General features: G+C 42.6%; 1 protein-coding gene across 23 annotated transcripts in view, besides 6 other annotated features; it reads right to left on the reverse strand.

Annotated features, from left to right (window-relative positions):
• XPO1 (exportin 1) overlaps window positions 1-13,642 on the reverse strand; it is a 60,764-nt gene extending 47,122 nt beyond the window's left edge. For 4 of the 23 annotated variants that reach the window (XM_047445771.1, XM_005264544.3, XM_011533098.3 and 1 more), the window contains exons 1-3: window positions 12,592-13,386; window positions 8,802-8,933; window positions 1,450-1,551 (exon numbers count right to left, since the gene is read on the reverse strand). In XM_047445771.1, coding sequence (XP_047301727.1) covers window positions 1,450-1,551; window positions 8,802-8,927 — 228 coding nt within the window. In that variant the 5' untranslated portion in view covers window positions 8,928-8,933; window positions 12,592-13,386. Of the gene's footprint in view, window positions 1-299; window positions 364-521; window positions 585-1,449; window positions 1,552-8,801; window positions 8,934-9,452; window positions 9,709-11,739; window positions 12,407-12,591; window positions 13,387-13,521 lie in introns of those variants that run through there. The other 19 variants (XM_047445761.1, XM_047445767.1, XM_047445760.1 and 16 more) reach the window with 11 other exon arrangements.
• Window positions 11,177-11,236: an enhancer, noted in NCBI's record as "active region_15831". NCBI's record gives its function as "activates an Ori minimal core promoter by ATAC-STARR-seq in GM12878 lymphoblastoid cells {active_cell/tissue: GM12878}" and the evidence as "EXISTENCE:reporter gene assay evidence [ECO:0000049][PMID:35858748]".
• Window positions 11,957-12,016: an enhancer, noted in NCBI's record as "active region_15832". NCBI's record gives its function as "activates an Ori minimal core promoter by ATAC-STARR-seq in GM12878 lymphoblastoid cells {active_cell/tissue: GM12878}" and the evidence as "EXISTENCE:reporter gene assay evidence [ECO:0000049][PMID:35858748]".
• Window positions 13,111-13,370: an enhancer, noted in NCBI's record as "active region_15833". NCBI's record gives its function as "activates an Ori minimal core promoter by ATAC-STARR-seq in GM12878 lymphoblastoid cells {active_cell/tissue: GM12878}" and the evidence as "EXISTENCE:reporter gene assay evidence [ECO:0000049][PMID:35858748]".
• Window positions 13,861-14,000: a silencer, noted in NCBI's record as "silent region_11530". NCBI's record gives its function as "represses an Ori minimal core promoter by ATAC-STARR-seq in GM12878 lymphoblastoid cells {active_cell/tissue: GM12878}" and the evidence as "EXISTENCE:reporter gene assay evidence [ECO:0000049][PMID:35858748]".
• Window positions 13,861-14,728: a biological region, named in NCBI's record as "H3K27ac hESC enhancer GRCh37_chr2:61766044-61766833".
• Window positions 13,939-14,728: an enhancer, noted in NCBI's record as "H3K27ac hESC enhancer chr2:61766044-61766833 (GRCh37/hg19 assembly coordinates)". NCBI's record gives its function as "activates a minimal SCP1, AML or CMV promoter by ChIP-STARR-seq in primed H9 embryonic stem cells {active_cell/tissue: H9 hESC(primed)}" and the evidence as "EXISTENCE:reporter gene assay evidence [ECO:0000049][PMID:30033119]".

Genomic DNA, 27,967 nt, shown 5'->3' on the forward strand with positions numbered 1-27,967 from the left:
CAGTCAAATCTGAAAGCCAATGATAAATCACTACAATCCAAACATTCTGAAGAATTATACTTTTGCCTTACATCTCCAAACTTGAGAAATCCACTGCTGAGTTATGAAGATGAGGGACAGATAACAGCAAAGACTAAATGAAAAAATAAATGCATGAAATGATCCCTATGGTAGAAATTTCTACTGAGCCCTTAGAAATACTTATTTTATGCATTGAATTCCCCTTTCCCCTCCCACCGCCCATGAAACAAAAACAATTGATGAACAGAATTCAGTTAAAGGGAATCAAAAGGGTAGACCTTGTGGAGGCCTGCCGTCAAAGCCTAGCTGTGTCAGTTGCACAGGAAGACACCCCTTTTCTTCCTATTACAAGCAATCAACATAATGGAACATTATGATTAATATCAGGTAGTGTTAACATCTTTAAAGAAAAAAAAATGATTGCATAAAAGCCAAATGTCATAGTGCATAAATTTAGCACCAAATCATTTGTAATTTATGTAAATTGAAGAATTCTTTACCTGTTGCTTTCTTTCTGTTCCTCTAATCATCTCATTTTTCACAAGACAAATTTGAGTTTTTAAAAATACTGTTGATAAATCAACTTAAACATTAGTAATGTCTGTCAGTATAAAAAGCAAAATTTACCAGGCAAGCAAACAGGCAAACACTGTTATGTTACTTAAGGTTAGCACTTTGAGGAAGTTCTGGACTGTATTTTTGACCTAAAATTTACAAGATGTCAAAACTAATTAATATTTTAAAACTGTTAATTAACAAAGTCTGGTTTCAGAAACAGATGTGAATATGGCTATCTTCTGTTTTAACACAATGTATATCAAGTGGAAACCTTTCGTGTATTAAACAGAATGCCATAGTATTTATTACTTTAAGGCAGTTTAAAGAGAAGCGTGAATCATCAAGCCTAAAACAGACAAAACACATTTTGATCAACCCTTCTGTTCAAACTTAAAAAAGGACCAGAATTATAACATTTTCCATTGTAAATAAAAACTGAGTGCTGTCCCATTAGAAGCCCAATGCCATGGAGTAGGGTTTTAAGCTGTCCACACAACTTGGTGTCAGAGGTGCCTGGCCTGTATTATATTGATTACTTGCCCAAAATAATTCCTTAATGTTATGTTTAATCTCTGAATAACATTCAGAATTTATGCTACTTAGACCTGTATACATATACTAAAAAGAAAAAAACAAAATCAGACAACCAAAAAAGCCACCTTGCATACTAGTCCCATTACAAAACTTCATTCATAATTCTTAGGACTATTTGCAAGAATTAATTATATGCTTAAGACTAAATTTTGAAACAAATTAACAATATAAAATAATTTGAGATAACAAATGCTAATACTAAAAATGAGATACCTTCCTCAAAGTTTATGACTGGAAGAAAAGAAATAACAGATTTTAAAACCACCACTTGCTTACTTTCGTATTCATATTCTGAGAAAATTCCAAAATTGTGTCGACTCTTGTCCAAGCATCAGGATGCTCCTTTAAATGTGTCAGTACTTCTTGAGCCATTCTTTGCTAAAATATTATTAAAAAAAACAAAACTTAAGCTAATGTATTCTTTTGAATCATTCATTAAAATGAAAACTACTGAGCAAGGCACAAATTCTAATTGGACAGAGATTCTATTATTGATGTTCAGAAATACTCAAAAATTAGACCTTACAGAAATAGAAATAAAATTATATAAATATGACTCCCAATTTTTTTTTTTTTTTTTTGAGACAGAGTCTTGGCTCTATCACCCAGGCTGGACTGCAGTGGTGCGATCTCAGCACCCTGCAACCTCTGCCTCCTGGGTTCAAGCGATTCTCCCGCCTCAGCCTCCTGAGTAGCTGGGATTATAGGCAGGTGCCACCACAGCCAGCTAATTTTTGTATTTTTAGTAGAGATGGGGTTTCACCATGTTGGCCAGGCTGGTCTTGAACTCCTGACCTCAGGTGATCTGCCTGCCTTGGCCTCCCAAAGTGCTGAGATTATAGGAGTGAGCCACCATGCCCAGCCAACTCCTAATCTTTAAAGGTGCAAATATTTTACTTATTTGAAACAGTAACATTTTTGGGAGTAAATCTGGTTTATTTTTTAGTCTCAAAACTGAACTGCATTTCAACCAAAGATCTATTCTGAAGCAAATAAGTTCTCAGCACTTAAATCAACCAAAAACAATATAAAAATTCTTATCTAGGCCAGTAGCAGTGTTTCATGCCTGTAATCCCAATACTTTGGGAGACTGAGGCAGGAGGACCACTTGAGGCCAGGGGTTCAAGACCAGCTGGCCAGTCTAGGTGACAGGCAATGTAACGAGGCCATGACTCTCCAAAAAAAAAAAAAAAAGAAAGCTGCACATGGTGGCTTGCACCTATAGTCCTAACTACTCAGGAGACCGAGATGGGAGGATCACTTGAGCCCTGGAAATCAAGGTTGCACCGAGCTATGATGGTGCCACTACACTTCAGCCTGGGTGAAAGAGCAGAGACCCTGTCTCTAGAAAAACAAAAAAAAGCACACCTACTTAGGTAAGTTATGTAATGTAGCAGGACACTCTGCTTTACAAGAGTTACCAAGATCTCTCTAAATACAAAAATACATTTCATGGAAAGACTGCTGAAAACTAGGTCTAATTAAACCACAAATCCCAAATACTTACATACCATTTGAGCTCTTTAAAGAGGGCTCCTAACATTTATTGTAACCATCCTTTCTCCATTCTGAAATTTCACTAATTTCATATATAAAATCTTTGTTTTGGAAACTATTTCCGTTTTTATTTTCATATTTTTAACATGCAACCCAGAAATACTAATCTACGTAGTCATCATCTTGTGCTTGTATCAGATTTTCTTTTAGCATAAAATAACTAAAGTTTATGGAAGTCATCTTTGTGCCTTTCCCTAGTGCCATTTCCTTCCTTTATTCCTTTTTTCTCTCTTTTTTTTTTTTAAAGTTGGAGTCTTGCTCTGTCACCCAGGCTGGAGTGCAATGGCAGGATCTCGACTCACTGCAACCTTCACCTCCCGGGTTCAAGCAATTCTCCTGCCTCAGCCTCCCAAGTAGCTGGGACTACAGGCACCTGCCACCACGCCTGGCTAATTTTTGTATTTTCAGTAGAGACAGGGTTTCACTGTATTGGCCAGGCTGGTCTTGAACTCCTGACCTCGTGACCCGCCTGCCTCAGCCTCCCCAAAGTGCTGGGATTACACCTTTGTTCCTTCTTTAAAAAGTAATGGCTTTCATCATGAACTTAGTGTGTCTTTTCCTGTCCACATTTTCACGGCATGTGTGTAAATTTCATGAATAGGGTTGTACGGCTACCAAATTTTATGTTAATAGTATACTTAAAAATCTTTTAGGCTGGGCACGGTGGCTTACGCCTGTAATCCTGGCACTATGGGAGGCCGAGGTGAGCAGATCACAAGGTCAGGAGTTCAAGACCATCCTGACCAATATGGCGAAACCCCATCTCTACTAAAAATACAAAAACTAGCCGGGAATGGTGGCGTGCGCCTATAGTCCCAGCTACTCGGGAGGCTGAGGCAGGAGAATCGCTTGAATCCAGGAGCGGAGGTTGCAGTGAGCCAAGATTCCCCAAGAATCAGGAAGATTGCCCCAGTGCACTCCAACCTGGGTTGACTGCGTGAGACTCCCTCTCAAAAAAAAAAAAAAAATCTTTCCTGCAATTAGTTTTTTTCATTTGACAGTTTTTAAGATCCAGCCATGTCGACATTTTATTTATATATATATATATATATATATATATATATATATATATATATATATAGTTTTTTCATTTCAATAAGTTTTTCATACATTAATATTTTTACCAACAGCTTTTAATTCTATTGACAAAAAGCAATGGCTTAATCTTTTTCACTTTTGTATCTTTAAAGGTTGTTTTATAACTCAATTAGATCCTTCCTATTTCTTTTACCTATTTCTATTAAAAGTTGTAAGCAAAAAGTTTGGACCAGGTGTGGTGGCTCATGTCTGTAATCCCAGGAGTTCAAGACCAGCCTGGGCAACAAAGAAAAATTAATAATGAGCCAGGTGTGGTGGGACACGCACTTATGGTCCCAGCTACTCAGGAGGCTGAGGTGGGAAGATTGAGCCTGGGAAGTCAAGGCTGCAGTGAGCTGTGATCAAGCCATTGTGCTCCAGCCTGTGTGACAGAGCAAGAAAAAAGTTTGATGACTTTAAAATCTGTCAGTTATCTTTCTCTTATACTTTACTTTATCATGGGTTTAATTCTATGGTTATAAACAATAAAGCATCAAAAACAGGGTAGGAAGCACTCTCACAACCATTTCTGACAAAGATACCTTATAATCTTTAGCTTGGCTTTTATTCTAGTCTTTTTTAAAACAATCGTATGCTCGGGTGGGCACCGTGGCTCACGCCTGTAATCCCAACACTTTGGGTGGCCAAGGTGGGTGGATCACGAGGTCAGAAGTTCAAGACCAGCCTGGCCAACATGGTGAAACCCCGTCTCTACTAAAAATTCAAAAATTAGCTGGGCATGGTGGGGCGTACTTGTAATCCCAGTTACTCAGGAGGCTGAGGCAGGAGAATTGCTTGAACCAGGACCCGGAAGGCGGAGGTTGCAGTGATTTGAGATCACACCACTGCACTCCAGCCTGGGCTACAGAGTGAGACTCTGTCTCATTACAAAAAAAAAAAAAAAGAAAGAAATTATATGCTTATCCTGGCTTTGATGCTTTATTTTAATCATGACCTTTTCCTCAGGTAGGAAATACAATACCACATTCATGACTATCCCATACATCAATCAGGAAAACACACTGCTACACACTCAATAACTTATATGGTTGTTCTCTACCCAGAAACCCACCAGAACCACTGTGGTTGCCTGAAAAGATCAGACGCCTGCTTCCATTGTGAGTCTGTGGTTACAAGAGTTAATGTGTATACTTTAAAATACAATCATACACATTTCTATTTGATTTCATTAAAGGACTGATGGGCATAATGTGTCATATGAGAAATGACAGAAGGCCGAAAGAATAATGATGTGGCTTATCTAGGGCCAAAGCACATTTTAGCAGTGTTTTGGTCTTCTCCCTGAGAATATCTAGCTAGATAACCTTATCTAACTAGAGGAAAAGTTGTATCAAAGATCCTCACACAGTAAAAGTTACTTGGTCAAGTTACCATTTTGTCAGATGCTTTGAAGTGATAAGCATTCTACACAGAATCAAATACTTCCCACACTATCACCACTCACATCAATCGCTACATAAATAATATTCTTTCCTGTTAGTTGTAATTTTACTCTCTGATGCTACTTCTAGTATTTGCATTCTGATTTATTCTAATCCCACCATTCTTACATAATGTTCTTTATAAACTTAAAACCCCAGCAGGGGTTTAAAAAAAAAAGACACAAAAGCAAACTAAAGAGAGAAAACCTAGCATCTCCCTTGTACTACTAACTGAATGGTGAAAGCATTTTAGTTGCTAAGCAATAGAGTTCAAGATCTTTAACAGAACACAATATTGGAGAAAACATCCAACTCTTCCCGCATCTTTTTTCTAGCTGTCTACTTGGCTAAAAATAGAAAAATGCTGATAACAGAGGGTAGAGGGTAGTCCTAATGTTACACTGCTAAATATCCTACTATACTAACCATGTATGCAGAAGTTCTGTCTACAGATTAAAAGTCACCCTTGTAAATAATTTCTTCCCCTCCCCCAAGTTACACATTCCTTTAAAAAAAAAAAAACCTACCTACAGCTTTTTTTCCCAGTTGACTTTAAAAGCTTAATTAGCATAATAAATTTTTCTTGTCATTAGTGCATATTTTATGAGTAGCAAAAAAAAAATTTTTTTAATTTTAAGCAATGAGTATCACATATGCTAAATCATTTTCATTATACTGCTAAATGTACCCTTTAAGCTGAGTGCCTTCTACCTATCAAGCACTGTAATAGGTGCTTTTAAACCTCATAACTAACCCTCCAATCTCTTGTAGGACAGGTCATATTTGTACATGGGACTTAAGCAATGACTAGAGAGAGCTTCCAAGAATCAAATTAAGACGTCTAACACTAAAAATCATGTTTTCCACTATAGCAGCTCGCTGCTACTACTACTCCTTTTCCTTTGAAATAAGACCCCCAAGGAGGTGGTAAACGAAAAGTAGACTGAACTAACGACATAGGACTTTTAGAGACCAAAAGGACTCCTTAACCAGCTTTAAGCTCTAAATCTTGTTTCTTCATTTATAATACAAAATAAGTTTGCTAGTTATTTCTACGCAACTGATTTTGTCACATGATCTATTAACTACTGCAGACAAAATCCTTTTACTTTGGGAAAGTTAACCTATTGTCCTTACAAACAAAAAAATTTAGAAACACTTTTCTTAATCTACTTTTTATTAACAAGTCAATTTTAAAACAAACCATTAAATTTCTTAATACTATGAAACATTATTAAAAGCAGTATTGCTGTAATATATTCTCAATTACAAAAATTGCCACTAATTCTGTTACAAGCCATGAAGAACACTGCTCTATGTTGGTTTATTTATCATACCTTTAGATGTAGTGAACTAGTTTAGTGTGAAGATTAAACAGTATTAGTAGCTGAATCTATGCGGAAAAAATTAAATGCCCTTTTTCCCAATGGCTACAGACCTGTGCTTCCAATATTACATTCAGAGTTGAACCCAACCTTACTTTCATAGCTTCCTCCAAAAGCAGCTGCTTTCTATGCATCCATGCTAGAAGAAATGAAGCTTAAAGCTTCATGTTGAATGTATAGCATGAGTAACAACTAAATGACAGGGATAATAAATACGGATGGTTAATTTTTTCAAGAATGCTTTAGGAGATAATATACTGATCAAAACGCCCTAAAAGTATAAACCTGGGCTAACAAGCTTACAGAATCACTGCAAGAGTAATTTTTTCTACTTTTAGCGTTTCCATGGACCTTTTTCAAGTTTCTACTATAGTAAAAGCAGTACTGTTGCATTTCATAAGGGAATGGAAACATTTATACATGATGCTTTTTGGACTACTATAAAAGATAGTACTGTATCCACCTTATATATTTTCAGAAAGTGTAATGGCACTCAGGTTTAGGTTTTTTTATTTTATTTTATTTATTTATTTTTATTTTTGAGACGAAGTCTCATGCCGTTGCCCAGGCTGGAGTGCAGTGGCGCAACCTCGGCTCACTGCAAGCTCCGCCTCCCGGGTTCACGCCATTCTCCTGCCTCAGCCTCCCGAGTAGCTGGGACTACAGGCGCCCGCCACCACGCCTGGCTAATTTTTTGTGTTTTTAGTAGAGACGGGGTTTCACCGTGTTAGCCAGGATGGTCTCGATCTCCTGACCTCGTCATCCGCCGGCGTCGGCCTCTCAAAGTGCTGGGATTACAGGCGTGAGCCACCGCGCCCGGCCGGCACTCAGTTTCTTAATTATGCAAATATAAATATCTTGACAATATAAGTAACCTCCCATCTACTAGCTGAACATTTATCTAACCAGAAATCTACTGTTCTGGCAACAAAACTACCATAAAAGATTTCTGGCCAGGCGCGGTGGCTCATGCCTGTCATCTCCACACTTTGGGAGGCCAAGGCAGGCGGATCACGAGGTCAGGAGATGGAGACCATCCTGGCCAATATGATGAAACCCATCTCTACTAAAATACAAAAAATTAGCTGGGCATGGTGGCGCGTCTGTAGTCCCAGCTACTCGGGAGGCTAAGGCAGGTGAATTGCTTGAAAACCTGGGAGGCAGAGGTTGCAGTGAGCCGAGACTGTGCCACTGCACTCAGGCCTGGTGACAGAGCAAGACTCCATCTGAAAAAAAAAAAAGATTTCTGACCCAACTGCAAAACTTTTTACTCATTCAAAAACATGTTTGGGCCAGCACGCGGTGGCTCATGCCTGTAATCCCAGCACTTTGGGAGGCCGAGTCAGGTGGATCACCTGAGGTCAGGAGTTCCAAGACCAGCCTGGCCAACACGGTGAAACCCCATCTCTACTAAAAATACAAAAATTAGCCAGGCATGGTGGCGTGTGCCTGTAATCCCAGCTACCAGGGAGGCTGAGGCAAGACAATCGCTTGAACCCAGGAGGCAGGGGTTGCAGTGAGCTGAGATAGCGCCACTGCACTCCTGCCTGGACCACAGAGCGAGACTGTCTCAAAAAAAAGTTTGGCCCCACAGGTAAAAAATCAAGTTTTTTTTCTTGTGACATATACAATTTAAAATTGTACACACATTTCTGTTTCACCTTTTAGTTGGGTTCAAAAAAACCAAAAATCTTAAACTGATCAAAATTTGGTTTATGTTTAAGATAATTCCCTACATTAACAGTACCACTTTGAAAAGTGCACAAAATTCAACTAACATAAAAATACTTGGTATTCCTGTTTTTATTTAAACAAACATATCTGTGAAGTACTTCTGTAAATGTTTTAAAAGTAGAAGAATCGTATTAGTGCCAAACATATTAAGTATATATAAAAGTACAGAGAACCTTTAATACCTACAAAGTATTTAATAACATTTGGCTCTTAAGGACAAAACAAGTATAATATTCCAAAACAACCCACTCTAACCATGTCAAACATGCAATTTCTTTCTCCAAACCAATTTTCATTATGGTTAATACAGAATTCCAAATTAATGCAAACTATGGAATATCTTTTTTAAAGGTGATAATTTAAAATTTTATTCTAAACCCAACAACTCTGTTACACTGTCATAATGTTATAAAGTTTTGGTTGGCTACTTTACCTGGGCTCCTTCTCCATGGTATAAGCAATTCACCACATTATCTAATAAGTTGATATCCAGTTTTTGGCTGAAATCAAGCAGCTGACGAGCTGCATGGTCTGCTAACATTGTCATAATTGCTGGCATAGATTACTGAAAATAAAGAAAAAAAATTGAAGCTGCCTATCAAGTTTTGGTATTATCAAAAACTTCCTACAAGTTATTTTACTTCAACCATGTTATTACAAATATTTTAATGAATACTTTAGAGACTTTAATTACAGAAAACTGAGATAGTAAAAGCAAGTAACAAAAGCTGAAATTACTTAGCTATTTGATAATTACATAAATTATTATGGTCCATTCAACTTTTCTAGTGTTTAGTTTATACACCAGGAAGACTTTCCTATTCTACTAACATTTATAAAGTATGCTAACCTATTATTTAAACGCATCCACTATTAGGATTTTATGGTCCTAAAACGTGATACAGTTCAGTATCTTGATGTCAAAACTTTTTAAGCAAGTAGGATTAAGTTCAAGTGAATGTGATTTTCTTTTCTTCCCAAGTAGGGTCTTCTGAATAACTCAGTAAAAGCTCACTTCACATTATCTTAACTTTATAAAAATAATGCTATAAAGACAGAATGGGCCGAGCGTGGTGGCTCACACCTGTAATCCCAGCACTTTGGGAGGCCGAGGTGGGCGAATCACTTGAGGTCAGGAGTTCCAGACCAGCCTGGCCAACATGGCAAAACCCCGTCTCTACTAAAAATACAAAAATCAGCCAGGCATGGAGGCGGGCACCTGTAATCCCAGCTACTTGGGAAGCTGAGGCAGGAGAACTGCTTGAACCCAGGAGACGGAGTTTGCAGTAAGCCGAGATGCACCACCACACTCTAGCCTGGGCAAGAGAATGAGACTCCATCTCAAAAACAAACAAACAAAGACAGAATGATGTTAAAAATTAAAATGTGGATATACAGTAATTCCTATTGTCTACAGCAATGGTTAGCAGGAACCACAAGTCTAACATATCTTGGTATAAATGCCCTTAGCCTCTACAGAAATAACTTAGCTTCTACACTCAAACCATTCAAATTGTTTCAACCCTCAATGAATTGGGGGATTGAAATAAAGCTACAAACATATTTACTGAATATATGATCTAGGAAAAAAAACTTTATGGGCAATATGCCTAACAAGATTTTTTAAATTCCAGGTATTCATTGGCAAGGTAAAAGCTGTAAAAGCTTGCCCATTCCCAAATAAAAAAGAATTCTAACAGAAAAATGAGCTACTTCGCCTAAATATGCACTGGTTAAAACCTACTAGTTCATATGCAGTGCTATCCTTTTAAGAGGATTCTACTCTAAGATGCTGGCACACATCCACTTTTTTGTTGCCCAGAATTATAAAATATATCTTTCCTCTGCTTTTCTTCAAAGCCAATGCCACTCAAACCTAATTGGTTAAGTCAGTAGTCCTTAACCTTTTTGGGGGTCTAAGATGCCTGAGACTCTGAGGAACCAATAGCTCTAACCCAGTTTTTAAAAACTCACGATTTTGTATACAATTATAGAGGATTCAGGACATCCTGAAAGCCATCCATGGCACTCCCAGTTTAGTGTATTTAGAACTAACAAGGTCAGATCTCCACTTCTTCCCATTTTAGGAACTTTCGTGGACCAGAAAATGAGTAGCTAATTTCTTTACATTATATTTAGACAAACTAGCTTGGCAGGGCGGAAAAAAAGTCATTAATTCCTGGCTATTTTATAACAGCTTAAAAATGTCCATAACAATAATGGCAGCAAATTCTATTTTAATGCAATTGTCTTATTTAAATATAACGTCTGTTACAACAGATTAGAACTCCAAAAGATGAGTCACCTATGATTGATATGATGTAAAAATAATGTAAAACTCAAGAAATTAGGAGTTCAAGAATTGGTCCATTATTGACAAAACTGATGAGACTTCAAAACGTTTCGTAGTAGGCATTAAACAAACGTTTTTAAACAGCAGAATACTTGTTACACACCACAAAAAAACCTTAAGATCTAAATACTGAGAGGAAATATATATTCCACAAATGAATGTGTAAACTCTCCTCCACCTTCAAGTACCATAAAATTTAAAAGATCAGAACAATCTTAATTATTTGAGGCTTAAAAGCAATGTCCACAAAGCACCAAGATCCATGTATCAAAAGTTTTCAAATATTTCGGTTAAATATTGAACAAACTTTTCACCTATTTACTACCATAGTTGAATGCTAAAACAAAAAAGGATTAAGAAAATGACTCTTACAAGTTTCATTTTCAAATACACTGTTCTTATAAAATTCTCCGAACTAGACTGATGTGAAAAACGAGATTTAGAATAGAAGGATTTAAATACAGTAGTTTGCCATCCTTAGAACTAGCGGCTATCTTCGAAATCACCTACCTATTCCTGAACTGTACATAGTACAGAAATGGCGGCTTTGTGGTCAATGCCAAGCACATTTAGTCCCCCAAATCAAACCGCTTCCAAAACATTCTTTCCACTAACAGCAGTGTCCCACACTTAAGATATACAATCAGACAGCAAACAAGCCATAGTGCGAGAGGTGTAACCACGAACGCTCATTCCCATTGGGCTCTTCAATCCTAAAATCCACTCACTGGATAACATACACTAGGGATTATCCAGCTTAATGGATAATGTGACTCTACAAGTGACACCCAATGCCAATTCCTAAACAAAACCCAGAAAATCATAACCGTTGCTTAATAACTTCACACTAGGTGAAAAACAAGTCGCTACAAGGCGAAAGACTGCTCCTTAGGTTGTGTGGGCAATCGCCCGCTTCATTCAGGAAAAACACACCTCATTAGGGCCCGCCCTCCCCTCGCTTCCCACCCGAACCGATTTGCAGCCCTTCTAACTATAGCACACAGGAGCACGCACTCACCCCGCCCTTACTCGGAGGAGGCATTTAGACCAGGCGCCTTAAGTTCACCGCCCCTTTCTCTATGCAGCATGGCCTCGGCGTGATCAGAGGAGGTCCGGGCTGAGCCAGTACTGAATGCTTCCTCTACTACACCACTTCCTCCCACCCAACCCAAACTCACAGACATCGGAATGAAGGAGAATCAGGGCATCCTCCACTGTACAAGGCCAACAGTAAATGGTTTAACCAACTTATCACATTCAAACCCCTGAAAAGGAACTACAAGACGGAATCCCATGTGCAGGCCCCTGAAAAACTGATCTTTCCTACTTCACATGCCACTCTGCAAAACCGGAGAGCTTTCGAGTTTCCTTGCTGGAGGAACAGGGAGTCGGCAGCCCCTCCCTCCCCCATCCCAAGCTCTCCACCGAGGGGGCCACGTGATGCAGGCGGACGTTTCAATGCTGCTGCACTAAATATTTCTGGAAACTTCCACTCCTAATAATTTACAGAGATGTTCCTGAAATCACCCCAACTTCTCCCCAGCCCCAGGGGCTGGGGAACCCCTCCCACCCCGCGCGGGGCCCCGCTTCACTATCACACTCCTCGCCTTCCTCCACCGCCACCCGCACACGCGAATGACCCAGCAAGCGCTCCCCTCCCGAGGCCGCCTCCCCGCCTCCATCCCCCAGCGGCAAAAGCGGCTCCATTCAATCGCAGGCTCCGCTGTGGGCCCGCCGCGCCCCCGGCCCGCCCGCCGCCTCCCGGGCTCGCTTCCCGCGGCCGCCGCCGCCGCGCCCCACGCCGGCCTCCTCCCGCCCGCCCGGCCGCGCCGCCGCCCGACCCTCGGCCCCGAAGACACAGTCGACTTACCCAGAGATTGAACCAACTGCTCCTTCCTTCCTCGTTGGGGGATTAGGGCGAGGGAAGGTGGGGAGGGGGGAGAGGGGACGAATCAAGGTGGGTTTCAGTTTTCCCACCTCAAAAAAGGAAATTAAAAAAACGGACAGGAAAAGGGCAAAAAGAGCTCAATAATATTTACTATTTCAGGGACGCTTCCCCCAACACACACACACACACACACACACACACACACCCGCCCCCCCCCAAAAGGGGAATTAATCTGGGGAATAAATGCTCCCGCCCGGCTGGGGAGTGAGGGAAGGGGGAGGGAACGGGGTCAAGTCCCAAAGATTCAGCCCCAGGGGGACCCTCCAGCCACAGGCAGCAGCAGAAGCGGCAGGAGTAGGGGGTGTAGAGTCCACACGGCCGGGGAGACGCTCTGCTGCCAGTTGCAGTCCGACTCCCCCCTACCAAAACACGGCTCCCTCTCTCACGCGGCTCCGGCGCTGGCCCCCCCCCCCCCAAGGCTCGCCTAAACTTTCCCCCCTTCTCTTGTTCCTCAGCGACTGGTGGTTCCCCCCTCCCCCTCTGGGTGGTTGCACGGACTGCAGCAGCAAAGACTGGAACAGGCACCGCCGCCGGGGCTGTAGCTACTGTTGCTCTTGCTGATGCTGTAGCTCCCGCTGCTCCTGCCGCGGCCGCTGCAGCCGCTTCTCCCCCTCCTCCTAGTGCCTCAAACTCGGAACCGGTTGAAACCGGTTCAGACTGGGAGATTCCATCTCGGTTGAGTTTTCAGCCCATGGCGCCGCGGAGCGTTTGGAACCTGGGCCTCCGCCCCCAGCCCGCCCTCCTATTGGTCAGTTCCAGCTACAGCCGCGCCATGAGCCTATCTCTCATTGGCCCGAGCGCCAGTCAATCCCGCCTCACGGCTCCACACGAGCCCGCCGCTTCGGCCCCTACCTCTTTTCAGCAGCGATTTGCCCGCAGAGTGGGGGAGGGGAAGTGGGGAGGGTCGAAAGGCAAGAGGAGAGGGGTGGAGGAGGAGGAGGTGGGACGAAGAGCAGGGATGAGTAGAAAAGAGAGCGAAGGAAAGCCGCGTGGAGGATTCGTTCGAACGAGCTGTCAATCAAGAGCAGCCCGCCCTCGAGCTCTCGACTTCCCTTCCCCCTGCGGCCCTCTCCCTCCCGGTGCCTAGTTCGCAGGCCCGGCCTTTCTCGCCCGCTCATTGGCTGGGCCTCTTCGGTGACGGAGAGGGTGGGGCGCAGCTCGTGAGCTGGTGGCGGCGCGAGTTTGATCGGGGCGCGCGGCAGCGTTCTCTTTGCTTCCCCCGGACTCGGCCGGCCCGCCCCCACCGGCTCCCGCCAACCTGCGGGGGCCTGAGCCCGCGGGAATCAGGATCCGCCCTTCGGATGGGGGCTGCGTTCGGAAAAGGGAGGGCACACCCAGTTTTGAACTCTGGAAGGGGTGGAGAAAAGAGGGAAAAAGAACGCTTCCGAGGCCAATTTTAGGCCCCAGACCTCTCTAATCCATTTTAGAGGCCTGGTTTTGGGGCCAGGTAGCTGAGAGAGGGGTTGGGGTGAGGCGCAGGGCGTGCATTCTTGGCGCCTCGTGATCTTCTCAGGGTGTCGGAAAAGATATCGAAATACTTCTTGGGAAAGTCTCCTTAAAATTTCAACTCTGTCTCTCCAGGCTGGAATTTGGCTGCTTCAACAAGCAACCTTTCCTGAAAACCAAAACATTGTAATCCCAAGTGATTGGTTTGACAGCGCATGTTTTGGCTGGCTGAGCTTGCATGCCAACTGCGTCCCACCTGGTGCCCTTGATCTGCAACACTCAGATTTTCCTTTTACCCTAGCTGCACTTCACGTACTAAATCATCATCAAATAGTATTTTCTGTGAAAGTCACATGCACGTTGCCTTTCACGTGGTTGCCTCTCGTTTGTTCCCAAGCGTCCTCCAAATCAGCTTTACAGATTGTTCTTTGCTTAAGAGCAAATAGCCCACCAAAATTTACTAGGCCCTTTGTGCCACCAAGAGGTAGATAAATGATTTATTGAATTAATAACAATTTTCTTTAGCAAATGTTCATCCACGATGGACTATGGCTAACCTCAAAGCACCACTTATTCTAACTCCCCCTCCAATAAAGAAAAACGCAACAACTCAATGTTTAGATGTACCAGAATTATTTTGGATGATTTTCAGACCTAAGTTTTTATTCATTACATAAATGAATAATATCAAGCCATTTTATATACATATATAATACATATATAATGTACTATGTATGATATATGATGTGCAGTGGGCCCTCTGTATCCTGGGTTCCCCATCCTCAGTTTCAACCAGCCCTGGGTGGAAAACATTAAAAAACAACAACAACAATAAAAATAATACAAAATAAAACGCAATGCAGTATATTTACATAGCATTTACATTGTATAAGGCATTATAAGCAATGTAGAGATGATTTAAAGTTTACATCGTATAAGGTATTATAAGCAATCTAGAGATGAAAGTAACGGGAAGTTTACAAATACAGTATATGCAAATACAGTAAATCCTCACTTAACATGGTCATGGAGAGGATCTTGGAAACTGCGACTTTAAACACAAGGATAGGCCAGGCATGGTGGTTCATGCCTTTAATCCCAGCACTTTGGGAGGCCGAGGCAGGCAGATCACTTGAGGTCAGGAGTTCGAGACCAGCCTGGCCACATGGTGAAACCCCTCTCTACTGAAGATACAAAAATTAACCTGGCGTGGTGGTGGGCACTTGTAATCCCAGCTACTCGGGAGGCTAAGCGGGGAGAATGGCTGGAACCCGGGAGGCAGAGGCTGCAGTGAGCGGAGATCACGCTACTGCAGTCCAGCCTGGGCAACAGAACGGGACTCGTTCTCAAAACAAACAAACAACAATAAAAAAAACCTACAAGGACATATAACAAAATCAATTTTACCATAGGCCTGTAATCCCAGCATTTTGGGAGGCAAAGGTGGGAGGATCACTTGAGCCCAGAAGTTCAAGACCAGCCTGGGCAACATGGCAAAACCTGGTCTCTACCAAAAATACAATAATTAGCTGGGCATGGTGGCATGCGCCTGTAGTCCCAACTACTCGGGAGGCTGAGGTGAAAGGATCACTTGAGCCTGAGAGGTTGAGGCTGCATGAGCTGTGATGATGCCATCATGCAGACTGTACACTCCAGCCTGGGTGACAGAGTGAGACACTGTCTCAAAAAAAATTACCAATCTAACTCTGACAAAAGTGTGATTGTGTATGATGCTAAAACAGGGTGAGAGAGAAAGGATCTTTTTTTTTTTTTTTTTTTGGAAAAAGTATCTCACTGTGTCTCTCCCAGGCTGAAAGGATCCTCCCTGACTCAGCCATCTGAGCAGCTGGAACTGTAGATGCATGCCACCATGCCTAGCTAGTTTTTTGTAAATAAATATATATATATATAATATATATTATACATTATAAATATATACATATATGTAATACATATATATGTAAATATATACATATAAATGTAAATATATGTGTGTGTGTATATATATATATATATATATATATTTTTTTTTTTTTTTTGTAGAAAGGGGTTTTGCCATGTTACCCAGGCTGATCTCAAACTCCTGTAGGCGAGTGATCCTCCTGCCTCAGCCTCCCAAAGTGCTGGGATTATAGGCCTGAGCCACCTTGCCCAGTCAGGATACTCATTTCAAGAAAAAATTGACCTGGGAAGATAAAGTATGGGTTGCACCCCTATTTCCATCAAGCTCAATTTAGTGTGGAGAATATTTATGGAAAATTATGAGTATTCTGTCTGTGATGTTAAGACCCCAGTGAATAATCTACGTAGAGTCTGTGAAGCCTCAAATCAATCAGGAGCAGAATCAGCAGTTGCCTGCAGGTGAGTTGCTACCTTTTGAGAACATAGTGAAAAAGTAGGTGACAAGGCTGCTAAATCTAGGAGTTACAGTTTGATAGTCTGAGAAATCTGTACAGTTCTTCTATGAGGTGACATTGAACAATGGGTCCCAAGAATCTCTTACTCATGGAGAAATGAGAGAAGTGTATCACTTAACTTGGACCATTCTCAGACAGGACAGAGGAAGCTATAGCTGTTTTGGTTGAAGTACTTCTAGGCCAAAAATAAAAATAATGAGATAGGGTTATAGGTCTGCTGTAACAGTCAGTTTAGGCTGCTGTAACAAAGTACCATAGTCTGGGTGGCTTAAACAACATTTATTTCTCACAGTACTGGAGGCTGGAAGTCTGAGGCCAGGGCGTCAGCATGGTTTAGGTTCTGGCAAAGGCCCTCTTCGGGTTGCAGACCGGTGACTTCTTCCTGTACTCTCTTGTGAAGGGGGAAAAAAGGCTAGAGAGCTTTCTGGGGTGTCTTTTATAAGAACGCTAATTTCATTCATGAGGACCCTACCCTCGTTATCTACTGACTCCCAAAGGCCTTATCTCCTCATACCATCACATTAGGGTTTAGGATTTCAACATACTGATTTTCAGGGGACACAAATATTCTGTCCGTTGCAATATATAAGAAGCAAAATAGAGTAGGGAAACTAAAGTTGGTATCTGTGGATTGAAAAGATATGCCATTTCTTTCTTGCACAAAAACATCTCATTATGGGCCAGGCATGGTGGTGGCTGATGCCTGTAATCCCAGCCTTTGGGAGGTCAAAGCAGGTGGATCACAAGGTCAGGAGATCGAGACCATCTGGGCCAACATGGTGAAACCCCATCTCTACTAAAAATACAAAAATTAGCTGGGCGTGATGGTACATGCCTGTAATCCCAGCTACTCGGGACGCTGAGGCAGGAGAATCGCTTGAACCAGGGAGTCAGAGGATGCAGTGAGCCGAGATCATGCCACTGCACTCCAGCCTGGTGACAGAGTGAGACTCCATCTCAAAATAAATAAATAAATAAAAATAAAATGAGCTGGGCGAGGTGGCTCATGCCTGTAATCCTAGCACTTTGGGAGGCTGAGGCGGGCAGATTACTTGAGGTCAGGAGTTTGAGACCAGCCTGGCCAACATGGCGAAATCCCATCTCTACAAAAATACAAAAAATTAGCCAGACGTGGTAGTGCACGCCTGGAATACCAGTGCTTTGGGAGACTACTGTGGGAGAATCACTTGAGGCCAGGAGTTCAAGACCAGCCTGGGCAACATAAATGAGAGTTTGGCTCTACAAAACTAAAAAAATTAACCCAGGCATGATGACACATATCTGTGTCTTAGCTACTCAAGAGGCTTAGGCAGGAGGATCCCGTGAGCCCAGGATTCAGGCTACAATGAGCTGTGATCAAGCCACTGCACTCCAGCCTGGGCAGCAGAGCAAGACTGTCTTTAAAAAAAAGAAAAATTATATATGGAGTCATGGAAAAATGTGAAAAATAAACGAAAATTTAAAAAAAAAGAAAAATCAGAAAAAAAACCAAAAAACCTATTTTATCAGGTGCTCTGACTAGAAAAAAATGAAGAACCTAGCAAAGTCAGTGAATCTATTTCAGTAGTTCTCAAACTGAGGGCACTTCCCCAACAAGACATTTAGCAATTAAGTGTTGGCTATCAAAACAACACTGTCAGCTAATGTCAGAATCAGAGCACATTACAGGTAAATCAGAAGGTGAAGTATATCAGAAGTATGATAATGGAAACACTTTTGGTTGTTGCAACTGGTTGGGGAGGGGGTGCCATAGACATCTAGTGGCAGAGGCCAGGAGTGCCATGAAACATCTTGCAATGCACAGGATAGCCCCCTATATCAAAGAATGAGAAGCCCACAATGTCAATATACAGAGATTGAGAAACCCTGATCTACTTATAAATATTTTAAATTATCCTAGCCCAATAAAGGGGAGAAGAGAGAGCGAGAGAAAACGAGTACATGAGCAAGTATACTGTACCTCAACAAGGTCAGTGCTTCTTTTATTTTTATTTTTATATATTTATTTTTGAGACAGGGGCTCGTTCTGTCACCCAGGCTGGAGTACAGTGGCACAATCACAATTCGCTGAAGCCTCAACCTCCCTGGCTCCAAGTGGTCCTACTGCTTCAGCCTCCTGAGTAGCTGAGACTACAGGTGTGCGTCACTGCACCCAGCTACTTTGTTTTATTTTCTGTAGCAACAGGGTCTCACCATGTTGCTGAGGCTGGTCTCAAACTCTTGAGTTCAAGCAGTCCTCCAGCCTTGGCCTCCCAAAGTGCTGGGATTATAGGCACAAGCCCCAGTGCCCAGCCCTGGGAGATGTTTTAAAATGTATTTTTAGAGCAGAAGAAATTCCTCTCTGAAGAGATCAAATTATCATCTTAAGTGCATTAATAGCAAATTCTCAGTACTTCCCCTGCTTTCAGGTGGTATCATGTTTAAACCATTTCAAGCTGGTTTCTGCATGCTTATTGAGAATGTCAGAACAAACAGCAGATAAACCATAAGCCCAGACAGAAGAGGTGAAGGTAATTATAATAGCTAACATTTACTGAGCACTTATTATGTGCCAGGAAGTTTTCTTTTTTTTTTTTTTTTTGAGTTGGGGTCTTGCCATGTCGCCCAGGCTGGAGTGCAGTGGCGCAATCTCAGCTCACTGCAAGTTCCGCTTCCTGGGTTCACACCATTCTCCTGCCTCAGCCTCCTGAGTAGCTGGGACTACAGGCACCCGCCACCACGCCTAGCTAATTTTTTGTATTTTTTAGTAGAGACAGGGTTTCACTGCGTTAGCCAGGATGGTCTTGATCTCCTGACCTCGTGATCCACCCACCTCAGCCTCCCAAAATGCTGGGATTAGAGGCGTGAGCCACTGTGCCCAGCCTGTGCCGGGAACTTTTCTAAACATGTTATGATATCTAGTCATTTAATTTTCACAACAGTCCAATGAGGTGGTCATTATTATTGCCATTTTAAGATGGGGAAATAAATACAGAAAGTTAAGGTATTTGAAAATAAAATGAAAAGAATTCAAGGATATCCCAAAAAATAATTAATAACTTAATTGAATGAATGAAATGTGAAGAAGTTTCCTAGAAGGAATAAACTCTTTTAGTTTTTATTTCTTTCCCTTCCTTTTTATTCGAATATAAATTCCAGAATATTGAGTAAAAGAAAGAAAGACTATCCCCTACTACTTATTTATTTAATATTTAACCATTCTATTTTCTTTCTTTTTTTTTTTTTTTTGAGATGGGGGTCTCACTCTGTCGACCAGGCTGGGAATGCTGTGACACAACCGCAGCTCACTGCAGCCTCAACTCCCAGGCTCAAGCAATCCTCCCACCTCAGCCTCCCAAGTAGCTGGGACTACAGGTGCATGCCATCACACTCAGTTAATTTTTGTATTTTTTGTACAGATAGGGTTTTGCCATGTTGCCCAGACTGGTCTCAAACTCCTGGGCTCAAGGAGTCCCCCCACTTGGGCCTCCCAAAGTGCTGGGATTACAGGCATGAGTCATTGTGCTCAATCCTATTATCTTTACCTAGAGAAATGTAAAAGTAAAACATTTATTTCAATAACCGGTATAACATTTGCCCAGGCACTGAAAATTGCCACAGCTCGTGAAATATTTTCTTAAGAGTGGTCTAGCATGATTTGGCAGTACAACTCTTTTTTCATGATGTAACCAGAATCTGAAGATTTTCAAGTGAATAATATTTAAAACACTTTTAATATGAAAAGTGAAGTGAAAAATATTACATAAATATATGAGCCATTACAGTCATAATTTCAGCAGTTCTAATCCCTGTAGATGAAAGTGCATGTCATTTAGCTAAAAAAATGTGAAATTATATATACGTACAAAGGATCCCTGACCCTAACTTTGGAAGGTGTGACACAATTTTTCACCTCTATGATGGGGTATAGAAGTAATTTCCATTCAGTAGAAACTGTACTTTGAGTCCCCATACAGTATTCAATAAATTACATGACATATTCAACAGTTTTTTATTTTTATTTTTTTCAGACGGAGTCTCCCTCTGTCGCCCAGGCTGGAGTGCAGTGGCACGATCTTGGCTCACTGAAACCTCCACCTCCCGGGTTCAAGTGACTCTCCTGCCTCAGCCTCCCGAGTAGCTGGAATTACAGGCAAGCGCCACTACTGCCTGGCTAATTTTTGTATTTTTAGTAGAGACGGGGTTTCACCATATTGGTCATGCTGGTCTTGAACTCCTGACCTCGTGATCCACCTGCCTTGGCCTCCCAACGTGCTGGGATTACAGGCGTTAGCCACCACAGCTGGCCGATATATTCAACACTTTATTATAAGATAGGCTTTGTGTTAGATGATCTTGATCTTGCCCAACTATAGGCTATTGTAAGTGTTCTGAGTGCCTTTACTATAGGCTGGCCTAAGCTATGATGTTCGGTAGGTTATGTGTTTTTTGTTTGTTTGTTTGTTTTTTGAGATGGAGTTTTGCTCTTGTAGTCCAAGCTGGAGTGCAGTGGTGGGGTCTTGGCCCACTGCAACCTCCGCCCCCTGGGTTCGAGAAATTCTCCTGCCTCAGCCTCCCAAGTAGCTGGGATTACAGGCACCTGCCACCATGCCCGGCTAATTTTTTGTATTTTTAGTAGAGACAGGTTTTCGCCACTTTGGGCGGCTGGTCTCGAACTCCTGACCTCAGGTGATCTGCCCGCCTCAGCCTTCCAAAGTGCTGGGATTATAGATGTGAGCCACCGCGCCCAGCCTGGTTATGTGTGTTAAATACATTTTCGACTTACTTGGTTGGGCGCGGTGGCTCACGCCTGTAATTCCTGCATTTTGGGAGGCTGATGTGGGCGGATCACAAGGTCAGGAGTTCGAGACCAGCCTGGCCAACATGGTAAAACCCTGTCTGTACTGAAAATACAAAAATTAGCCAGGCTTGGTGGTGCATGCCTGTAATCCCAGCTACTCAGGAAGCTGAGGCAGGAGAATCGCTTGAAGCACGGAGGCGGAGGTTGCAGTGAGCCGAGAATGCGCCACTACACTCCAGCCTGGGTGACAGAGTGAAACTCCATCTCAAAAAAAAAATAAAATTTTCAGCTCCTAAGTTGAAATGGGTTTATTGGGATGTAATCCATTGTTTAAGTCCAGGAGCATCTGTATAAGATCATAATATCCTTCTTTACCAGCTCTTTTTATAATAATTATTCAATTCCATGGGTATGTAAAACATTTTTTGTTTATACATACATTCATTCCTCTTCTCCCTTTTTCTTTTTCTTTTTTTTTTTTCTTTTTAATTTTTTTTTTTAATACAGAGTCTTATTCTGTCACCCAGGCTGGAGTGCAGTGGTATGATCTTGGCTCACTACAACCTCTGCCTCCTGGGTTCAAGGTCCTGATTCTCGTGCCTTAGCCTCCTGAGTAACTGGGATTACAAGTGCCCACCACCACACCTGGCTAATTTTTGTGTTTTTGGTAGAGATGGGGTTTCGCCATGTTACCCAGGCTGGTCTTGAACTCCTGGCCTCAAGTGATCCACTCATCTCAGCTTCCCGAAGTGCTGGAATTACAGGTGTAAGCCACCATGCCCAGCTTCACTTTTTCTTTTGACTTTGGGAATATTAAAAAGAAAAAAGGAGGGCTCTTGGAATTGAAGAAATCAAGGAAAATTCTCTTCTCACTCAACACTTTCCCCCAAAAAACATTGTGAAGGTTGTCAAAGGGGCTTTTTTAAAACTAGGCTCTGAATCTTGGATACTTACTCTTTTCTAGATGGATACAATAATCTGCTGGATATCAAGTAGTAGTTGTTGTTGCTTATAAGAAAACAACTGAATTTACCATTTATCAGTATCTACTACTTTCCAGATGCTATATATATATAAAGAGAGAGAGAGAGAGAGAGTCATAAATAACTAAGAAATAGGGCCAAAGTCATTTTAAATTTCTAAATGTTTGAATGTCTAATAAAATTAAAAGTGAGATTTAAAAAATCTTGTGTACAGCCAGGCACAGTGGCTCACACCTGTAATCCCAGCACTTTGGGAGGCCAAGGCAGGTGGATCACGAGGTCAGGAGATCGAGACCATCCTGGCTAACACGGTGAAACCCCGTCTCTACTAAAAGTACAAAAAATTAGCCGGGCGTGGTGGCAGGCGCCTGTAATCCCAGCTACTCGGGAGGCTGAGGCAGGAGAATGGTGTGAACCCGGGAAGCGAAGCTTGCAGTGAGCCGAGATCGCGCCACTGCACTCCAGCCTGGGTGACTGAGTGAGACTCCGTCTCAAAAAACAACAACAACAACAAAAAAGTCTTGTGTACAGTGAAATCTTGCTTATGCCATAACACCATGAATCCAGAGAATGTATGATTTTATAAATTTAAACTAAAATATTTTCCTGATTTATCCAGATAAGTATTTCATGACACTTTTTTTTTTTTTTTTTTTTTTTTGAGGCAGAGACTCACTCTGTTGCCCAGGCTGGAGTATAATGGCGCGGTCTCGACTCACTGCGACCTCTGCCTCCCAGGTTCAAGCCATTCTTCTGCCCTTAGCCTCCCAGGTAGCTGAGATTACAGGTGTGCGCCACCACGCCTGGCTAGTTTTTATTATTTATTTATTTGTTTTTGAGATGGCGTCTCGCTCTGTTGCCCAGGCTGGAGTGCAGTGGTGTGACATCGGCTCACTGCAAGCTCCACCTCCCGGGTTCAGGCCATTTTCCTGCCTCAGCCTCCCGAGTAGCTGGGACTACAGGTGCCCGCCACCACTCCCGGCTAGTTTTTTAGTATTTTTAGTAGAGACAGGGTTTCACTGTGTTAGCTAGGATGGTCTCGATCTCCTGACCTCGTGATCTGCCTGCCTCAGCCTCCCAAAGTGTTGGGATTACAGGCGTGAGCCACCGCGCCCGGCCACGCCCGGCTAGTTTTTGTATTTTTAGTGGAGACAGGGTTTCACCATGTTGGCCAGGCTGGTCTTGAACTCCTGACCTCAGGTGGTCCACCTGCCTTGGCCTCCCAAAGTGCTGGGATTACAGGCATGAGCCACTGGCGCCCGGCCTTTTTGTTTTTTGTTTTTGTTTGTTTGTTTGTTTTGAGACAGTGTCTTGCATTGTCGCTCAGGCTGGAGTGCAGTGGTGCGAACATGGCTCACTGCAGCCTCAACCTCTCTGGGCTCAGGTAATCCTCCCACCTCAGTCTCCCAAGTAGCTGGGACTGCAGGTATGCATCACCATGCCTGGCTAATTTTTGTATTTCTTGTAGAGATGGGGTTTCACTATATTGCCCAGGCTAGTCTCAAACTTCTTCTTGTTAGAAACCGTGTTGTCCAGACTGGTCTAGAACTCCTGAGCTCAACCAATCTGTCCGCCTCAGCCTCCCAAAGTGGTGGGATTACAGGTAAGAGCCACCATCCCCGGGCTCATGACACTTTTCTTTGCCTACCAAGATCCAGTTCATTGGACCCTTAAAAAAAGTATTTTAATATATTTTAATTATTTTTAAACCTACTCTGAGATTGATGAAGGCTGAAGTATTTGAAAATATTTCATAAGTCTTTCCTGCATATACCAAATTATACCAAAGAACACATTGAAAGTAATTTGCCTAATAATTTAACTATAAGTTTTCCGTAGAACCTAAATATAATTGCTAATGCACTGCACAGTCTTTTCTTTCCAGATTGTGTTTACACCATGACAAGCAGCGCTTCTTTCTCTTTACAAGGTAACAGTAGAATTCCCCAACAAGAGTTTGACAGTGGGCCGGGCTCGGTGGCTCACGCCTGTAATCCCAGCACTTTGGGAGGCCGAGGCAGGCGGATCACGAGGTGTGGAGATCGAGACCATCCTGGCTAACATGGTGAAACCCCAAACCCCGCCTCTGCTAAAAAAAAATTGGCCAGGCGTGTTGGCGGGCGCCTGTAGTCCCAGCTACTCGGGAGGCTAAGGCAGGAGAATCGCTTGAACCCGGGAGGTGGAGGTTGTAGTGAACCGAGATCGCGCCACCGTACTCCAGCCTGGGTGACAGATAATCCGTCTCAAAAAAAAAAAAAAAAAAAAAGAGTTTGACAGTGAATTTGGGAAAAGGAGAGCACAAAATGAGCACATAAGATGGGTAAGGGCGCATGAAGCTGAGGCTGAGGCAGAATGGCAGCACTGAAACAACTGGGCCACCTCTGCGGCTGGAGGGGCTGTGTAGTTGCAGGCTGGGTGGCTCAGGCTTAGTGGAAGCCATATGCTATCCAGAAGGCTGAGTCAAAACAAGCAGACATGCCAGGCTGAGGAAATAGAAAACACTGCAGGGTTGGCCTTCAGAGGCAATTAAGTGGGAGACAATTAAGATCACAGACTTAATTACCCAGGTGGTATTTGCATTCCTCCAGGCAGAAGCATCATTGTTGTGATAGACCAGTAGGCTCAACTCAAGGAAGCTATGGAGAAGAACTAAGAAGATTTTATGAATGACACCAGTATAAACAGTTTCAGCCTCTTCCTCCCTTACCGGGATACAAACCTCCCTATCACATGCAAACTTTTCAGATTTCCAATTGAAAATAGAGTGGGCCAGGAGGCCAAGAAACCCATGCTATACACAGATGAGTCCAAAGGTTTAGAGAGCTCCCATCCACTGACTCTTTCTAGCATTTTCAAAATCCAGGATGGTCCACAATGGCCTGTCTTCTAAGTTCATGCTTCCGCTCCATGGCTAGAAAAGACTGGAGGCAAGTCAATGGAGTTCTTCACCCAGTCATGTACAGTCTTTTCTAGTAGGGTCAGCTCTGATGCTAGAGAAAGATACAAAGAGACAAAAGGTAGTCCTTGAAATAAGTAAGCCTGGGAAAGACCAGCAAGGGGTCGTTGAACGTTTAAACAGCTCTTCATCACCTTTCCATCAAAAGAGTTTACTTGTTCCTAATACCCCATTGAAAATGTAGAATGTGGCCTGTTGGGGCTTCCAGCTTCCTATTATCCTGTTACAGAGCTCAGCACAGCTATCTGGATGCTCTGGCTGAATCCTCGTCATGAGAGATGTGAGTGCCCTTCCATGAACTGGAACCAAGAAGGGAAGAACAAGCCTTCCCTTTCCTTTCTGCCATGGTCTTTTCACACTCCAAAGCAGTTCTCTCCAGAGAGGACCCAGAGGACTGTAGGCAGCCCTAAGGCCATCAGGGGCAACTCCTAGAAGAATTATCTTCTGGTCTCTTCCTTTAGGGAAGCAAAACTGAGGATGAAGCCAGTGTTTTTTCTCCCTTATAGTTTTTCTAATAGATGAATGGTGTGGGTAAGAAGAGTGCTTTCAGGCATTTAAGCTTTAGTGGGACTGAAAGATTTGCAAGTGAAAGATACATTGCCAGGTGAGGGTGGGGGTTAGGGGGAAGGGTAGCTAAGGGAGGAAAAGAGGACCACTAAAGGACCCTAAAGGGTCAAAAAGAGAGCCAGTAAGGAAGACAGAGTAAATGGAGCTTCCAGGACAAACTCTGCCTGTCCTGGAATCTAGAGAAAGAAGTAGAATCACATGCAGATCTAAAAAGGCAACCAGCCGGACGTCATAATGAGGTTCTCGGTAGGAGAGCATGAGAGAATTTGCTTTTATTGGCCCCAGCAAACATGAAACCCCCAAGGTCTTATGCATAACGTAACTTCATTGGTTGTTGAAGGCTCAAGCAAACAACTTATACTGTGGAAATAACTGGCATACAGAAAAACACACAAGATTTACTCAGGGGACAAGAACACCTTTATTTATGAATTCCACATCTATATTTCAAATTCTGCTCCTACAGGGGACATATGACTCTGCAATAACTCCACATGTGGAGAGACAGGTTTGAGCTGTACCAAAAAAAGTGAATTTCACAGGACCAAACAATATTTGTATAAATGCTGCCACATTTTTAAAAAATTGGAGTAGTAAAATGGGACAGAGAAAAATGTTTGGAATCAGAAGATGTGGATTCTCCTCCCAGTTCTGCCCTTATTAGAGCTCTTTGCCATTATGATCAAACTACTAGAAGGTTCCTAAGATCTTTTCTGGCTCAATGATAGTACTTCTGTGTATTCTTTTCTTCTTGAAGATGAAAGCGTATACAGAGAAGTGCAGACATATTTTTTTCACTAGGAATTTTGTGAATGTGAAGCTTAAGGAAGTTTAAGGAAGCATTCTCCATACTAATTCAGTCAATTATTCACTTAAATAATATTTTTTTGAGTCCCACGATGTTTTATGTGCTGTGCTGGGGCTGGGAAGACAATGATTATTTCCATAGGCAGAAAAGGACCAAACAATAACAATGTTTTTTCAATACTTGGATCTATAATAAAGTAATCACACATCGTTTCATAAATTTAATGTTTAGATTTGTTAAAATTTAATTCTTTAAATTTTAAAGTTTTATCCTTAACAACTGGGGGGTTCATTTACTTGTATTGTTGGATTTTTTGTTGTTAAATACCTGGGAGTTGTTATTTATGTATTTATTGATTGATTTATTCTTTGAGACAGGGTCTTACTCTGTCTCCCAGCTGGAGTGCAGTAGCATGATCTTGGCTCACCGCATTCTCTGCCTCCTGGGTCCAAGGGATTCTCATACCTCAGCTTCCCAAGTAGCTGGGATTGCAGGTGTGCACCACCACACCTGGCTAATTTTTTTTTTTTTTTTTTGAGATGGAGTCTTGCTCTGTCTCCCAGGCTGGAGTGCAGTGGTGCCATCTTGGCTCACTGCAGCCTCTGCCCTCAGGGTTCCAGTGATTCTCCTGCCTCAGCCTCCTGAGTAGCTGGGATTACAGGCACATGCCACCACACCCGGCTAATTTTTGTATGTAATTTAGAAATGAGGTTTTGCCATGTTGGACAGGCTGGTCTCGAACACCTGACCTCAGGTGATCCACTTGCCTCGGCCTCCCAAAGTGCTGGGATTACAGGTTTGTGCCACCACACCCAGCCAAATGTTTTAATTTTTAGTAGAGACAGGGTCTCACCATGTTGGCCAGGTTGGTCTCGAACTCCTTACCTCAAGTGATCCATCGGCCTTGGCAAGGCTGGTCTCAAACTCTTGACCTCAATTGATCCACCCACCTTGGCCTCCCAAAGTGCTGGGATTACAGGCATGAGCCACCACACCTGGCCTGTTTTGTTTTTTTTGTTTTTTTTTTTTTTTTGGGTGGTGAGTAGGGGGACAAGGTCTTGCTTGGTCTCCCAGGCTGGAGTGCAGTGGTATGATCATGACACACTGCAGCCTTGACCATCTGGGCTCAAGCCATCTTCCAGCCTCAGCCTCCCAAGTAGCTAGGATCACAAACATGCACCACCACGCCTGGCTAATTTAAAAAATTATGTGTAGAGATGAGGTCTCATCGCATTACCCAGGTTGGTCTTGAACTTCTGAGCTTAAAGGATCTTTCCACCTTGACCTCCCAAAGTGCTGGGATTGCAGGCATGAGCCACCATGCCTAGCCACCAGGGAGTT

This window comes from Homo sapiens, chromosome 2, assembly GCF_000001405.40.
Source record: "Homo sapiens chromosome 2, GRCh38.p14 Primary Assembly".
In the NCBI taxonomy this organism is placed as follows: domain Eukaryota; kingdom Metazoa; phylum Chordata; class Mammalia; order Primates; family Hominidae; genus Homo; species Homo sapiens.